General features: G+C 46.3%; 1 protein-coding gene across 36 annotated transcripts in view, besides 3 other annotated features; it reads left to right on the top strand.

Annotated features, from left to right (window-relative positions):
- Positions 52 to 141: a silencer, noted in NCBI's record as "silent region_18194". NCBI's record gives its function as "represses an Ori minimal core promoter by ATAC-STARR-seq in GM12878 lymphoblastoid cells {active_cell/tissue: GM12878}" and the evidence as "EXISTENCE:reporter gene assay evidence [ECO:0000049][PMID:35858748]".
- The window catches only part of PSPH (phosphoserine phosphatase), a 40381-nt gene continuing 23628 nt past the window's right edge, over positions 308 to 17060 (top strand). For 20 of the 36 annotated variants that reach the window (NM_001370509.1, NM_001370510.1, NM_001370504.1 and 17 more), the window contains exon 1: positions 308 to 614. The gene's annotated coding sequence lies outside the window, so the exon portion shown is untranslated. Of the gene's footprint in view, positions 615 to 8490; positions 8605 to 9108; positions 9362 to 17060 lie in introns of all 36 variants that reach the window. The other 16 variants (XM_047420647.1, XM_047420648.1, XM_047420646.1 and 13 more) reach the window with 4 other exon arrangements.
- Positions 532 to 581: an enhancer, noted in NCBI's record as "active region_26048". NCBI's record gives its function as "activates an Ori minimal core promoter by ATAC-STARR-seq in GM12878 lymphoblastoid cells {active_cell/tissue: GM12878}" and the evidence as "EXISTENCE:reporter gene assay evidence [ECO:0000049][PMID:35858748]".
- Positions 1253 to 1312: an enhancer, noted in NCBI's record as "active region_26047". NCBI's record gives its function as "activates an Ori minimal core promoter by ATAC-STARR-seq in GM12878 lymphoblastoid cells {active_cell/tissue: GM12878}" and the evidence as "EXISTENCE:reporter gene assay evidence [ECO:0000049][PMID:35858748]".

Genomic DNA, 17060 nt, shown 5'->3' with positions numbered 1-17060 from the left:
CGTCTGGCCGGCCCCCAGCGTGCCCGCGCGCCGCCGCCATTGGGCCACAGGTCGTCCGGCGCCCGCTCATTGGTCCGCGGCTGCACGGCTCCTGCGGTCCCACCCTTCGCGCCTCGGCCTTGTCGTCATCGCGCACGGGAGGAGCTTGTTCCCGGCATTCCGTGCTCCTTGGTTCCGGCGTTGGAGCTCTTTGGGGCCCAGCTTTGCGGACCCGGGAGCTCGGGACGCAGGCGGGGCTTGTGCTCCGCGGGGGCAGGGCGTAGGGTGGGCCTCCTACCTCCCCTGATCTCGCGGTTTGTTCCGTTTCATTGGAGCTTCCCGGACCGTGTGCTCGACGGTGCCCTAGGTGCCGTGGGGCCACACGCGAGTCTGATAAGCACCCTCCCCCGGAATCATGCGGTGCTGTGAGGCCTAGCGAAGATGAAGATAGAATGCAAGGTAGAAAGTGCTGGATACCTTTAGAAAGCTGCAGGACTGGTGCGATGGGAGTTGAGACGTAAGAACCTGCCCGTCCGTAGGGCTCTGGATGCTGCTGAGGCCCGAGGCCCCTATGGCAGATTTGAAAATTCACCCTTGTAGAGTCATTCCTGCCTTTGAGCGGACTCCCTTTTAAGGTAAATTTCCAAAGAGCTCCACAATTGTTTCCAGTATCCAGTGTCCCGCCAAATACCAGGGATTCAGTAACACGTGGTATTTTACTTTATTTATTTTCTTTTTGTAAACATAGGGTCTCACTATGTTGCCCAGGGTGGTCTCAAACTCCTGAGCTCAAGTGATACTCCTGAGTTCAAGTGATCCTCCCGCCTCGGCCTTCCAAAGTGTTGGGATTACAGGCGTGAGCCACCGCGCCCGGCTGTATTTTATTTTTAATAAATAACGGAAATTGTTCTGAATTCAAAAGGCACCAAAGGGCATGTAGTGAAAATTAAATCTTCCTCCCACTTCTAGTTCAACACTAGAGACAAGCAAAGTTACCCCTGGGTACTCTATGAATTTTCGGAATGCTTTCTGAATTTATAAACTTACATATGAATATAATCATTTCCCCACACAAATGGCAATTCATAATACACACTGCAGGGTGTGTTATACTTTAAGTGTCTTGGAGATTGTGCCATATCAAGACTAATGGGAAGTCCTCGGTAACAGCAGCGTGATGTTCTTTGTAAGAATGACTCAACTAGGGGCCAGGGCTGGGTGGCTCACGCCTGTAATCCCAGCACTTTGGGAGGATGAGGCGGGGGCATCACTTGTGCCCGGGAGTTCAAGACCAGTCTGGGTAACATAGCGAGACTCCATCTATACAACAAATACAAAAATTAGCCAGGCGTGGTGGTGCACGTCTGTGATCCCAGCTACTTGGGAGGCTGAGGTGGGAGGATTGCTGGAATCTGGGAGGTGGAGGTTGCAGTCAGCTATGATCTTGCCACTGCACTTCAGCCTGGGCTACGGAGCTGACCCTTTCTCAAAAAGAATGACACAACTAACCGGTCACCTACTGACTGATGTTTAAGTTGTTCACAGTCTGCTATTCAGACTGCAGTGAATATCTGGGTATATGATGCTCTTAGGTGGGTTTGTGTATTTGAGAATCACAAAAACATCTATATATGTGACTAGTAGCACTGCACGATAGAAGACTAGTTATTAGTTCCATAGGCATTACACGGTGTGCATGCGGATTTATTATAACTGCTGTTAAAAATGTTATGAGGAGGCCAAGCATGGTGGCGCACGCTTGTAATCCCAGTACTTTGGGAAGCCGAGGTGGGCGGATCACTTGAGGTCAGGAGTTCAAGACCATCCTGGCCAACATGGTGAAACCCCGTCTCTGTAAAAATACATCAGCCTGGCCTGGTGGTGTGCATCTGTGATCCAAGCTACTTGGGAGGCTGAGGCATGAGAATTGCTTGAACTCAGGAAGCAGAGGTTGCAGTGAGCCGAGATCATGTCACTGCACTCCAGCCTGGGCAACAGAGCGAGATTCCTCAAAAAAAATAATAATAATAATAAAGGCCAGGTACAGTGATTCACACCTGTAATCCCAGCACTTTGGGAGGCAGAAGCGGGTGGATCACCTGAGGTCAGGAGTTCGAGACCAGCCTGGCCAACATAGTGAAACCCGTCTCTACTAAAAATACAAAAATTAGCTGGGCATGGTGGCGGCTGCCTGTAATCCCAGTTCCTCGGGAGGCTGAGGCGGGAGAATCACTTAAACCTGGGAGTTGGAGATTGCAGTGAGCGGAGACTGCATTACTGCACTCCAGCCTGGGCAACAACAGCGAGACTTGTCTCCCAGGCGACATCTGATGGAAGCATATTAAATACATAAATAGGTGTTCTTGATAAGGGGAAAAAACAATTTAAATAACATGTATAAGAAGTTCTCACTTTTGAAACATTTCCCATGGGTCTGTACAGGGAGGGGAACATCACACACTGGGACCTGTCAGGGGGTGGGAGCAAGGGGAGGGAGAGCATTAAGACAAATACCTAATGCAAGCAGGGTTTAAAACTTAGAGGATGGGGGCTGGACGCAGTGGCTTATGCCTGTAATCCCAGCACTTTGGGAGGCCGAGGCGGGCAGATCACAAGGTCAGGAGATCGACACTATCCTGGCTAACACGGTGAAACCTCGTCTCTACTAAAAATACAAAAAAAAAAATTAGCTGGGCATGGTGGCGGGTGCGTGTAGTTCCAGCTACTGGGAAGGCTGAGGTGAGAGAATGGCATGAATCCAAGAGGCGGAGCTTGCAGTGAGCCGAGATGGAGCCACTGCACTCCAGCCTGGGTGACACAGTGAGACTCTGTCTCAAAGAAAAAAACAACCACCAAAAAAACCCTAGAGGATGGGTTGAAGGGTGCAGCAAACCACCATGGGATATGTATACCTATCTAACAAAACTGCTCATTCTGCACATATATCCCTGAACTTAAAGCAAAAAAAAAAAAAAAAGCCAGGTGTGGTGGCACACGCCTGTAATCCCAGCTACTTGTGTGGCTGAGGTGGAATTGCTTGAACCCAGGAGGCGGAGGTTGCAGTGAGCCAGAATCACAGCACTGCACTCCCAGTCTCGGCGACAGAGTGAGACCTTGTCTCAAAAATGGAAGGAATTTGTAAAAAACAGTAAGAAGAATTCCCATACTCTACCCACAGATCCCCCAGTGTAAACATCACATTTAACCCAGGAATAAGAAATTACAGTGATGCCGGATCCAATCTATAGATTTCATTCAAATTTTGCTAATTATGTCATGAATCTTCTATCTCTGGCCCAGGATTCTATTTATCCAAAATTACATTTCACATTTAGTTGTCATGTTCTTCAGTCTGGAACAGTTCTGCAATTTTTCAGTCTTTAATGATCTTGGCATTTTTTTGAATACTGGCCAGTTATTTTACAGACTGTCCCTTACTTTAGGGTTATTTGATGTTTCCTTATGATTTTTTTTTTTTTTTTCAAATTTTTTAAAGACAGAGTGTTGCTCTTTTGCCCAGGCTGGAGTGCAGTGGCATGATCTCTGCTCACTGCAGCCTCCGCCTCCTCGGGTTCAAGTGATTCTCCTGCCTCAGCCTCCAGAGTAGCTGGGATTACAGGCACCCACCACCATGCCGGGCTAATTTTTGTACTTTTAGTAGAAATGGGGTTTCACCATGTTAGCCAGGCTGGTTTTGAACTCCTGACCTCAGGTGATCTGCCTGCCTTGGCCTCCCAAAGTGCCGGGATTACAGGCATGAGCCACCACGCCTGGCCTGATGTTTCCTTATGTTTAAATACAGATTATGGCCGGGCACAGTGGCTCACAACTGTAATCCCAGCACTTTGGGAGGCCAAGGCCGGCGGATCGTGAGGTCAAGAGATCAAGACCATCCTGGCCAACATGGTGCAACACCGTCTCTACTAAAAATACAAAAAATTAACTGGGCATGGTGGTGCACGCCTGTAATCCCAGTTACTCAGTAGGCTGAGGCAGGAGAATCACTTGAACCCAGGAGGTGGAGATTGCAGTGAGTCAAGATCACGCCACTGCACTCCAGCCTGGGTGACAGAGCGAGGCTCTTATCAAAAAAAAAAAAAAAAGCAGGTTATTCATTTTTGGCAAGAACACCAGAGAAATTAACGTGTCCTTTTCAAGGCATTATAGGAAGAGTCACATGATGTCAGTTTTTCTCATTCCTGGTGATGTTAACTTTGTTCACTTGGTTAATATTTGCCAGATTGCTCTACTTTAAAGTTAGTAGTTTTTCTTTGTATTTAATAAGCATTTAATAAGCATCTTATGGGAAAATATGTGACTGTTCTGTTTTTCATCATAACAATGCCTACTAATTTAAGCATCCATTTTTTCTTTTTTTTTTTTTGAGACAGGGTCTCACCCTGTCGCCCAGGCTGGAGTGCAGTAGCTCAATCACACAGCTTACTGCAGCCTGAACCTCCTGGGCTCAGCTTCCTATCTCAGCCTCCTGAGTAGCTGAGACTACAGACGTGCACCACTATGGCTGGCTAATTTAAAACTTTTTTTTTTTTTTGTAGAGAGAAGGTCATGCTATGTTGTCTGGGTGAGTTTCAAACTTCTGGGCTCAAGCAGTCCTCCTGCCTCAGCCTCCCAAAGTGCTGGGGTTACAGGCGTGAGCCACTGTACCCAGCCCATCAATAATTTTTGCCTGAAACAATTATTACTGTGATCTTTGTATTGAAAGTCCTCCATGGATCTGTTGTGTGCTTACATGTCTTGCTGTGTGTGCCAAGAATGCAAGGCCCAAGAATGCTCTTTATCTGGGGCTTTTCTCAGGGTTGTTTATACAGTTGCTAATCTTCAGAGACAAGTTAATGTTTCTTCCTGGACAAAGAGCAGGCTTGCCCACTCACTACTTGGTATGAAAACAATAGATTTCAGCTGGGTGTAGTGGCTGATGTCTATAATCCTAGCCCTTTTTTTTTTTTTTTTTTTGAGGTGGAGTCTCACTCTGCTCATTCTCACTCTGTTGCCCAGGCTGGAGTGTAGTGGTGCGATACCGGCTCACTGCAACCTCCACCTTCTGGGTTCAAGTGATTCTCCTGCCTCAACCTCTTGAGTAGCTGGGACTACAGGCTCCCGCCACCATGCCCAGCTAATTTGTGTATGTTTGTAGAGACAGGGCTTCACCATGTTGGCCAGGCTGGTCTCGAACCCTTGACTTCAGGTGATTTGCCCCCTCGGCCTCCCAAAGTCCTGGGATTACAGGTGTAAGCCACCGTGCAAAGCCATCCCAGCACTTTGGAAGGCCAACGTGGGAGGATCCTTTGAGGCCAGGAGTTCAAGACCAGCCTAGACAACATGGTGAGACCCCATCTCTACAAAAATAAAACAATAAAACACCGAGGTGGGCAGATCACCTGAGGTCAGGAGTTCGAGACCAGCCTGACCATCATGGAGAAACCCCGTCTCTACTAAAAAAATACACAATTAGCCAGGCATGATGGTGCATTCCTGTAATCCCAGCTACTCAGGAGGCTGAGGCAGGAGAATAGCTTGAACCCAGGAAGCAGAGGTTGCAGTGGGCCAAAATAGCGCCATTGCACTCCAGCCTGGGCGACGAGTGAAACTTTATCTCTAAAAAATAATAAATAAATAATAAAAACCAATAAAACAACAACAACAAAAGCAATAGATTCCCCGAGCTGAGTGTTCCTTAGCTGTGATCCAAACCCACCATCTTTGAGGCATCCATCTGGGCCACATTGTGTTACCCCATGGAAGTTGGAGGGAAAGGGGAACTGATGCAAATATCCTACTGCCCACACTGCTTGCTGTGCTGTAAGCAATAAAGTTCTTTGTCTCTGACACAGGAGACTTGTTTCTTTCTTTTTTTTTTTTTTTTTTGAGACAAAGTCTTGCTCTGTCACCCAGGCTAGAGTGCAGTGGCATGATCTTGGCTCATTGCAGCTTCTGCTTCCTGGGTTTAAGCGATTCTCCTTGCCTCAACCTCCTGAGTAGCTGGGACTATAGGCATGCACCACCACACCCAGCTAATTTTTGTATTTTTAGTAGAGGTGGGGTTTCACCATGTTGGCCAGGATGGTCTCGATATCCTGACCTCATGATCCACCTGCCTCGGCCTCCCAAAGTCCTGGGATTACAGGCCTGGAGCCACCGCGCCTGGCCAGGAGTCTTCTTTCTTAGGCCACATCCATAAAACAAGCAAGAGACTAACGTATTAGTTTGTAAGTAGGGTAAAGTCAAATCTCAGACCTAACCATTTGCAAGTGGTAATTTTCTATTAATTTTTTCTTTTATATATTTTTAAGAGATAGAGTCTCACTCTGGTGCCCAGGCTGGAGTGCAGTGGCGCAATCACTGCTTACTGCAACCTCGACCTTCTGGGCTCAAGTGATCCACCATCATGCCTGGCTAATTTTTTTGCAGAGACAAGTTCTCTGAAAAGCTATGTTGCTCAGGCTGGTCTTGAACTCCTGGCCTCAAGTGATCCTCCCACTTTGGCCTACCAAATTGCTAGGATTACAGGAGTGAGCCACTGCACCTGGCCAATTTTCTGCTTTCATCATTCATTATACATTTATTGGTTGAAATTCTGCTGTAAGGAAGAACTTTCCCTTCTCCTCCATGAATGACTGACTGAATGAATGAATTTGTATCAGTATGGATTCAAGAATTCTATTTTTTTTTTTTTTTTTTTGAGGCAGAGTTTCACTCTTGTTGCCCAGGCTGGAGTGCAATGGCACGATCTCAGCTCACTGCAATCTCCACCTCCCGAGTTCAAGCGATTGTCCTGCCTCAGCCTCCCGAGTAGCTGGGATTACAGGCATGCACCAGCATGCCCAGCTAATTTTGTATTTTAGTAGAGATGGGGTTTCTCCATGTTGGTCAGGCTGGTCTCAAACTCCTAACCTCAAGTGATCTGCCTGCCTGGATTACAAGCATGAGCCACCACACCTGGCCCTTTTTTTTTCCAGTCTCACTGTGTCACCTAGGCTAAATAAAGTGCAGCGGCACAATCATTAGCTCACTGCAGCTTTTAACTCCTGGGCTCAAGTGATCCTCCCACCTCAGCCTCCCAAGTAGCTAGCCTCAAGCGATCCTCCTGCCTCAGCCTCCCAAAGTGCTGGGATTACAGGTGTCAGCCACCATGATTGACCTATTATCTGATTTCAGCCAGCAATATTGTTTTTCTTAATATTATTCTTACACTGTTAATTAAATGTGATTTAAATAATCTTTTAACTCTCGGTTATTATAGATGAAACAGCCTGCAAAAACTCACCCTACTTCATTTATTCCATAATCTTTGTCCTCCTAATTTTTCTATTGCATCATTTCTGTATTGTCAGAGTAGGTAACGTTTACATTCTGTTTTTTCTCCCCCAAACCTGGGTTTATTTAGTCTTAGTTTTGCAATGATGTACACTCAATGCTCTTGCTTGTCCCTTTGCTGAAGTTCCCTTTGCTATCCATTGGTGAGTAATGTTTATTCATTAGCAGTGTCCTCAAGAAAAATATTCCCATGCAAGACCAGGCACAGTGGCTCATGCCTGTAATCCCAGCACTTTGTGAGGCCAAGGTGGACAGACCACCTGAGGTCAGGAGTTCAAGACCAGCCTTACCAACATGGAGAAACCCCGTCTCTACTAAAAATACAAAATTAGCCAGGCGTGTATTCCCAGCTACACGGGAGGCTGAGGCAGGAGAATCACTTGAACCTACGAGGCGACAGTTGCGGTGCACCAAGATCGCGCCATTGCACTTCAGCCTGGGCAACAAGACGAAACTCCATCTCAAAAAAAAAATATTCTCATGGGAAAAATATCCCCAGAATTCCTGTATGTTCAAAACTATCGTTTGTAGCCTTTGTGTGTGAATGATGGCTTGGCTTGTTTTAAAACAAAAAAATCGCTGGCTCATAACTTTATTCATTTGTTTTTTTGAGACAGGGTCTTGCTCTGTTGCTCAGGCTGGAGTGCAGTGGCATGATCACAGCTCACTGCAGCTTCCACCCTGGGGCTCAAGCTATCCTCCCACCTTAGCCTCCCAACAGGTGTGCGCCACCACGCCCAGTGAATTTTTTTTGTTTTATTGTAGAGACAGGGGTTGGGGTGGGTGGGGGGAGGGGTGGTCTCATGTTGCCCAGGCTGGTCTCGAACTCCTGACCTCCAGTGATCCTCCTACCTTGGCCTCCCAAAGTGCTAGGATTACAGGCATGAGCCACCACGCCCAGCCTCTATATCTTTAAATATTTATTTATTTATTTATTTATTTATTTTTAGAGATATGGGGTCTTACTCTGTTGCTGAGGCTAGCCTTGAACTCCTGGCCTCATGTGATCCTCCTACCTCAGCCTACCTAGTAGCTGGGATTACAGGTTCAAGTCACCACACCCAGTTAAATACTTATTTGTTCTAATGTTTGGGTTATCTTCGTTGAAAATTTCAATTGTGCATGTTGGCTTTCTTTGGTCTGTCCTCTACAGCTGTCTTTTTTTTTTTGAGATAGAGTCTCACTCTATCGCCCAGGCTGGAGTGCAATGGTGCCATCTCAGCTCACTGCAACCTCCCCTTCCCAAGTTCAAGCAATTTTCATGCCGCAGCCTCCTAGCTGGGATTACAGGTATGCACCACCTCGCCTCACAAATTCTAATTTTTGTATTTTTAGTAGAGACAGGTTTCACCATGTTGGCCAGGGTGGTCTTGAACTCCCGACCTCAGGTGATCCACCAACCTTGGCCTCCCAAAGTGCTGGGATTACAAGCGTGAGCCACTGCACCCCGCCAACTATCATTTTTTCTCTAATTTCATTTAATTCCTTTTGTTTATATGATTTGCTTTTCTCATTTTTATCATCCATATTGGTTAATATATTTTTCATAGTGTCCACTTTTATTTGTCCTCTTTTTAGCTTCATATTCACTTCTGTGATGGTTATTTTACCTGTTTTTTGGAGATGGTGTCTCAATATGTTTCCTAGGTTGGATCTGAACGCCTAGGCTCAAGTGATCCTCCTGCCTCAGCCTCCTGAGTAGTTGGCATTATAGGCATGTGCCACCATGCCCAGTGTGATAGTTATGTGTTTTCCTTCTACATCCTTTTTTTTTTTTTTTTCCTTCTGAGACAGGGTCCCACTCTGTTGCCGAAGCTGGAGTGCAGTGGCACGAACATGTCTCACTGCAGCCTCAACCTCCTGGGCTCAAGCTTTCCTCCTGCCTCAGCCTCCTGTGTAGCTGGGACCACAAGCACTCGTCACCACACCTGGATAATTTTTTGATGTTTTGTAGAGACAGTGCTTCAGTTTGTTGCCTGTGCTGGTCTTGAACTCCTGGCCTCAAGCAATCCTTCTGCTTTGGCCTCCCAGATTGCTGAGATTACAGGTGTGAGTCACTGTGCCCGGCTCCCTTCTGCTTCTTTCCTGGATTTTGTCAGTTTTGTCTTGCCTTATTTTGTCATGTTTTCCATGAATCTCTATATTTGTATTTTTGTTTGTCCTTCTTGGAAATAATTCATTAAGTTTTTTTTCAGACAGATTTTTTTTTTTTTTTTTTTGAGACAGAATCTCGCTCTGTCGCCCAGGCTGGAGTGTAGGGATCTTGGCTCACTGTAAACCTCCGCCTCCCGGATTCAAGCGATTCTCCTGCTTCAGCCTCCCAAGTAGCTGGGATTACAGGTGCACGACACCACACCCTGGTAATTTTTGTAGTTTTAGTAGAGACGAGGTTTCACCCTGTTGGCCAGGCTGGTCTCGAACTCCTGACCTCAGGTGATCCACCAGCCTCGGCCACCCAAAGTGCTGGGATTACAGGCATGAGCCACTGCGCCCGGTCCAGATCTTTTTTTTTTTGAGACAGAGTCTCGCTCTGTTGCCCAGGCTAGAGTGCCAGTGGCACAATCTCAGCTGACTGCAACCTCTGCCTCCCAGTTCAAGCAGTTCTCCTGCCTCAGCCTCACGAATAGCTGGGATTGCAGGCATGCACTACCACACCGGGCTAATTTTTGTATTTTTATTAGAGACAGGGTTTTGCCATGTTGCCCCAGCTGGTCTTGAACTCCTGGTCTCAAGTGATCTGCCCACCTCGGCCTCCCAAAGTGCTGGGATTACAAGTGTGAGCCACCGTGCCCGGCGCACTCACACGTTTCTAATGTCTCTCCATGTCCAAATTTTCTCTTCTTACAAGGACACCGGTCACATTAGATTAGGGCTCACTCTGAACACCTCATTTTAACATAATCGCCTCTTTAAAGACCTTGTCTCCAGGCCAGACTAGGTGGCTCATGCCTGTAATCCCAGCACTTCGGGAGGCCTAGGCGGGCAGATCACAAGGTCAAGAGATCGAGACCATCCTGGCCAACATGGTGAAACCCCATCTCTACTAAAAATACAAAAATTAGCTGGGCATGGTGGCAGGCACCTGTGGTCCCAGCTATTTGGGAGGCTGAGGCAGAAGAATCGCTTGAACCTGGGAGGCAGAGGTTGCAGTGAGCTGAGATTGTGCCACTGCACTCCAGCCTAGGCCACAGAGCGAGATTCTGTCTCAAAAAAAAAAAAAAAAAAAAAGAGAGAGAGAGAGAGATAGAGTCTTGCTATGATAATCAAGCTGGTCTTGCATTCCTGGGCTCAAGCAATCCTCTCGCCTTGGCCTCCCAAAGTGTTTGGATTACAGGCGTGAGCTTCTGTGCTGGCCAAAACAGAATGTTGGAGACACACACTGAATTTACTTGGAAGGCTGATTGTTTTCCCACGCCCTCCCTAGGAGGGTGAGCTGGGTGTTGGGACCTTAACTCTGCCCATAAGATGTTCAGGCCAGGAGAGATGCCCTTTACCCCTTGGGTTACAAGGGTTTCCACTCCCTTTCTGCTTGATTGAGGCTTGCCCTCAGTTCTTTGTATCCCTGCTCTGCTCTGCTTGTTTCAAACAACACATTTTTGCACTGTGTCATGAACAGCTCATCTTCAGAGAGTCTGTTTTTGCTGGTGTTTTCCGGGATCTGCATGTGCCTCTTCCCATGTAACTTTGGTAGGCCTTGTGCAGGTCTTGGAGTTTCCAGTGACTTTTTGTCTTCTAGTTTCGTTGAATATGGGATTTCTGCCTCATTCCCCCCCTCACCACCATATCTCCCTATCACTTTGCATAATTTCTAGGAGGAGGAAGGGGACAATTCAGTCAAATATTGCCACAGTTCTTATACTATAATCATATCGCTTTGTAATATAAATTTCTCCCACTTTTTCCATTATAAGATTAAAAATAGCTCACACCAAAATCCCATCGCTTGAACCCAGAAGGCAGAGATTGTAGTGTGTTGAGATTACACCACGGAACTCCAGCCTGGACAGAGACAGAGCCAGACCCTGTCCCAAAAAAATAAAAATAAATAAGTAAATAAATGAATAATGTTTCCTTTTTTATATAGATATATAGACATAGATATATAACCATATATCATACCTGGATATAGACACACATAGAGATTTCTTTGTTCAAAAATGGCTCAAACGATATATACGTTCTTCAACTTCCTTTATTCATGTGAACATATCATGGGCATATTTCCATGGTATGACTTATTTTGAATGCCAATGTTTATATTAAATCACATTTCAAACTGTGTTCACTGTGTTCTTTCAAGACATTTATATTATTTTAATGTATTGGTATTTTTTTTTTTTTGATGGAGTCTTGCTCTGTCACCCAGGCTGGAGTGCAGTGGCACGATCTCAGCTCACTGCAAGCTCTGCCTCCCAGGTTCACGCCATTCTCCTGCCTCAGCCTCCCAAGTAGCTGGGACTACAGGCGCCCGCCACCACGCCCAGCTAATTTTTTTGTATTTTTAGTAGATACGGGGTTTCACCATGTTAGCGAGGATGGTCTCGATCTCCTGACCTCGTGATCCGCCCACCTCGGCCTCCCAAAGTGCTGGGATTACAGGCGTGAGCTACTGCGCCCAGCCATATATTGTTTTTTTTTTTTTAATTTTTTTTTTTTTTTTTTTGAGACAGAGTCTTTCTCTGTCACCAGGGTGGAGTGCAGTGGTGCAATCTCGGCTTACTGCAACCTCCACTTCCTGGGTTCAAGCGATTTCCCTGCTTCAGCCTCACAAGTAGGTGGGACTACAGGCACGTACTACCATGCCCAGCTAATTTTTTGTATTTTAGTAGAGATGGGCTTTCACCATGTTGGCCAGGATGGTCTCGATCTCCTGACATCGTGATCTGCCTGCCTTGGCCTCCCAAAGTGCTGGGATTACAGGTGTGAGCCACCGTGCCCGGCCAGCAATGTATTGGTATTTAACGTATTGATAAGAAATATTACAATTGTTAGCAAATATTTTATACACACAGATATAAAAAGCATCCGTATACCTACCATCCTACTTAAAGGAAAATTATTATAATATCATTGATTAACTACATACCTTTTCTCAATCTCATTTCCTTTCTTACTTTCAGAAGTAACTACTGTCCTGAATTTTATGTTGTAAATTATCATTTATGACATTAAATGATAGTCTCTTTTTAAAGTTTCCAGTGGCTATTGGAGCATCACAGTAACTGAGAATGTTCACAGTACTGCTGTGAGAATTCTTATATATGTGTCATTTTTTTTTTTTTTTTTTTTGAGACAGAGTTTTGTTCTTGTTTCCCGGGCGGGTATGCAATGGCATGATCACAGGTCTCCGCCTCCCGGGTTCCGCCTCCCGGGTTCAAGCGATTATCTTGCCTTGGCCTCCTGAGTAACTAGGATTACAGGTATGCACCACTACACCCAGCTAATTTTGTATTTTTAGTGGAGACGGGGTTTCTCCATGTTGGTCAGGCTGGTCTTGAACTCCTGACCTCAGGTGATCTGCCCGCCTCAGCCTCTCAAAGTGCTGTGATTACAGGTGTGAGCCACTGCACCCAGCCTCATTTTTTTCTTTTTTTTGGGGGACGGAGTCTCACTCTGTCACCCAGGCTGGAGTGCAGTGGCGTGATCTTAGCACAGCCTCAACCTCCCAGGCTCAAGCCATCCTCCCACCTCAGCCTCCCAAGTACCTGGGATTCGAGGTGTGTGCCTCGAGGTGTGTGCACGTCCAGCTAATTTTGTTTATTTTTTGTACAGATTAGGTCTTAGTATGTTGCCCAGGGTGGTCTTGAACTCCTGGGCTCAAGCGATCCTCCCACCTAGGCCTCCCAAAGTGCTAGGATTAGAAGCATGAGGCACCACACCCAGCTTACTCATGCAAGTTTCTCCTGAGTGTCTTCCTCAGGTGGGATTGCTGGGTCATAGAAATTGCACGTGTTCAGTGTTTTTTGTCTGTTTGTTTTTTAGACGGAGTCTCGCTTTATCGCCCAGGCTAGAGTGCAGTGGCGCGATCTCCGCTCACTGCAAGCTCCGCCTCTTGGGTTCATGCCATTCTCCTCCCTCAGCCTCCCAAGTAGCTGGGACTGCAGGCGCCCACCACTACGCCCGGCTAATTTTTTTTTTTTTTTTTTGTATTTTTTGTATTTTTAGTAGAGACGGGGTTTCACCGTGTTAGCCAGGATGGTTTCCATCTCCTGACTTTGTGATCTGCCCTCCTCGGCCTCCCAAAGTGCTGGGATTACAGGTGTGAGCCACCGCACCTGGCCGCATGTGTTCAATGTTACTGAATAACACCATATTGTTTTCCGGAGGGCTTGTTCCAATTTACTATACTTTAGAAGGCTATTAGCACTGAATGACTTATAAAAAGAGTACATGATTCTAATATAATTAGCCATGAGAAAATTTGTGGCTGGGCACGGTGGCTCACTCTTGTAATCCCAGCACTTTGGGAGGCCAAGGCGAGTGGATCACCTGAGGCCAGGGGTTCAAGACCAGCCTATCCAACATGGTGAAACCCCGTCTGTACTAAAAATACAAAAATTAGCCGGGCATGGTGGTGCATGCTTGTAATCCCACCTACTTGGGAGGCTGAGGCAGGAGAATCACTTGAACCCAGGAGGCAGAGGTTGCAGAGAGCCAAGATCACGCTACTGCACTCCAGCCTGGGTGACAGAGCAAGACTCCATCTCAAAAAAAAAAAAAAAAAAAAAAAATTTGTTAGCTTACAAAAATGTGATCTATAGAAAACCTTTCAGAGCTGGGTAAAGTGGATCACACTTGGGCTTGAGCCCAGGAGTTGGAGACCAATGAGACCCAGACTCTACTAAACAAAAACCAGCCTGGTGTGGTGGCACACACCTGTGGTCCAACCTACTCGGAAGGCTGAGGCAGGAAGATTGCTTGAGCCCAGGAGTTCGAAGCTTCAGTGAGCTATGATCGTGCCACTGCACTTCAGCCTGGGTTACAGTGAGACCCTGCCTCAAAAGAAAAAAAAAAAAAGGAAAGAAAACCTTTCCGGAACAGTAGTATGACCTGTATTACTTTTGACTAACCAATTGTGATTAAAACTTTGCAAAATAATTTGCTAATATTTTTATTACACCTTCATTATGCTGTATTGTATTTGGTTCTTATGTGCTATTATTCCAGTAATTATGCCTTTGTCTTCATTATGCTATATTGTATTTGGTTCACATGTCCTATCATTCCACTAAGAACAGCTATGAAGCTTTTTTTTTTTTTTTTTGAGACAGAGTCTGGCTTTGTCACACAGGCTGGAGTGCAGTGGTGTAATCTCGGTTCACTGCAACCTCTGCCTCCCGGGTTCAAGTGATTCTCCTGCTTCAGCCTCCTCAGTAGCTGAGATTACAGGCGCCTGCCATCAGGCCTGGCTACTTTTTGTATTTTTAGTTGAGATGGGGTTTCGCCATGTTGGCCAGGCTGGTCTCAAACTCCTGACCTCAGGTGATCCTCCCGCCTCAGCCTCCCTAAGTGCTGGGATTACAGGCATGAGCCACTGTGCCCGGCCTGATGAAGCATATTTTAATCTGTTTCACAGTTTTGCCTTGTCTGGCAAGATTACCTCCTGGTTGTTACACTTGTATGTGACCACTCATTAGTGTCTTCTAGGCAACTATATATATATATTTTAATGTGATGTGCTCTAGCAAAACAATGTCTACAATACAGCCATCTCATGCTCACAAGTATCAATATAGGTGTGAGTATGAGGTGGATTCCAGGACCATGAAGAGGTGGCAGATTTTAATTAATTAACTAATTAATTTTTCAGAGACAAGGGCTTGCTCTGTTACCCAGACTGGAGTACAGTGGCATGATCACGGCTCACTGTAACCTCGAAATCCTGGGCTCAAATGATCCTCCCGCCTCAGCCTCCCAAGTAGCTGGGACTATAGGCATGCACCACCACACCCAGCCAGATTTTAGTAAATATAAATATTTTATCTGAAATTTTTAAGAATATTTAATATTTTAAAGAATACTTAATATTAAACATTTATGAAATACAAATAATAGCATAAGTTAACTCTTCTAGCCTTCCACATTTACTTACTTGAGTTTCTTTTCACCTCAAACAAAATAAATTCTGTTACCACTTAGATACAAACATTTGGTGTTTAACATTTTGTTTCTTTTATTATGCTTTTTATTTGTTTATTTGTGGGTTTTTTTGAGATGGATTCTCGCTCTGTTGCCCAGGCTGGAGTGCAGTGGCATGATCTCAGCTCACTGCAACCTCTGCCTCCCAGGTTCAAACGATTCTTCTGCCTCAGCCTCCCGAGTAGCTGGGATTATCCATGCACCACCATGCCAGGCTAATGTTTATATTTGTAGTAGAGATGGGGTTTCAACTTGTTAGCCAGGCTAGTCTTGAACTCCTGGCCTCAGATGATACACCCACCTCGGCCTCCCAAAGTGCTGAGATTACAGGCGTGAGCCAAGGTGCCCGGCCTATTATGCTTTTTAAAAAACTACTGCAGGCTGGGCGTGGTGGCTCATGCCTGTAATCCCAGCACTTTGGGAGGCCGAGGTGGGCAGATCATTTGAGGTCAGGAGTTTGAGACCAGCCTGGCCAACATGGTGAAACCCCATCTCTACTAAAAATACAAAAATTAGCTGGGCACGGTAGTGTGCGCTTGTAATCCCAGCTACTGGGGAGGTTGAGGCAGGAGAATCGCTTGAACCCAGGAGGCGGAGGTTGCAATGAGCTGAGATAGCACCACTGCACTCCAGCCTGGGCAACAGAGTGAGACTCAGTCTCGGGGGAAAAAAAAATTGTGTTTTGGTGGGGAGGGTCCTGTAGCTAAGGGTAGAGATGCTGTGACCAAGTGTCCTGCCCCAGGGATTGCATCCTCTGCGTGGGTGAGCATCTTAGAGTGAGCCTGGAGTGCAGACTGTCAGCCTTTGAGGTTTCAGGTTATGTTTTTGAGTGGATCTCAATGCCCAGCTCCAGCCAGCTAACTCCAGTGGTAAATGTTTGGGGGAAACACCCCTTATTTGTTGTAGTTAACATACAAGGAGCTGGGCAAGTGACACATGGAATAATTTTTTTTTTAAACGGAGTTTCACTCTGTTGCTCAGGCTGTAGTGCAGTGGCACGATCTTGGTTCACTGCAACCTCCTCCCCCCACCCGGGTTCAAGCAATTCTCCTGCCTCAGCCTACCAAGTAGCCGGGACTACAGGCATGCACCACCATGCCCCGCTAATTTTTGTATTTTTGCTGGAGATGGAGTTTTGCCATGTTGGCCAGGCTGGTCTCGAACTCCTGACCTCAGGTGATCCGCTTGCCTCAGCCTCCCAAAGTGCTGGGATTACATGCTTGAGCCACCGCGCCTGGCCAGAAAATTTTTAAAAAGAAATAGGCCGGGCGCGGTATCTCACATCTGTAATCCCAACACTTTGGGAGGCCAAGGAGGAAGGATCGCTTGAGCCCAGGTGTTTGAGCCCAGCCTGGGAAACACAGTGAGACCCCCCCCCATCTCTATTTAAAAACATAAATAAAAATTAAAAATAAAAGTAAGGTGCAAAGACTCTCATTTTGTTACTCATGGTTGCATTTTAATTAAGAATATAAGTAGTCTTGGCCGGGCGTGGTGGCTCACGCCTGTAATCCCAGCACTTTGGGAGGCCAAGGCGGGCGGATCACGAGGTCAGGAAATCGAGACCATCCTGGCTAACACGGTGAAACCCCGTCTCTATTAAAAAA

The sequence above is a fragment of the Homo sapiens genome, chromosome 7 (assembly GCF_000001405.40).
Source record: "Homo sapiens chromosome 7, GRCh38.p14 Primary Assembly".
Lineage (NCBI taxonomy): Eukaryota > Metazoa > Chordata > Mammalia > Primates > Hominidae > Homo > Homo sapiens.
The sequence above is the reverse complement of the archived record's forward strand: the minus strand, read 5'-3'. Positions and strand labels throughout refer to the sequence as shown.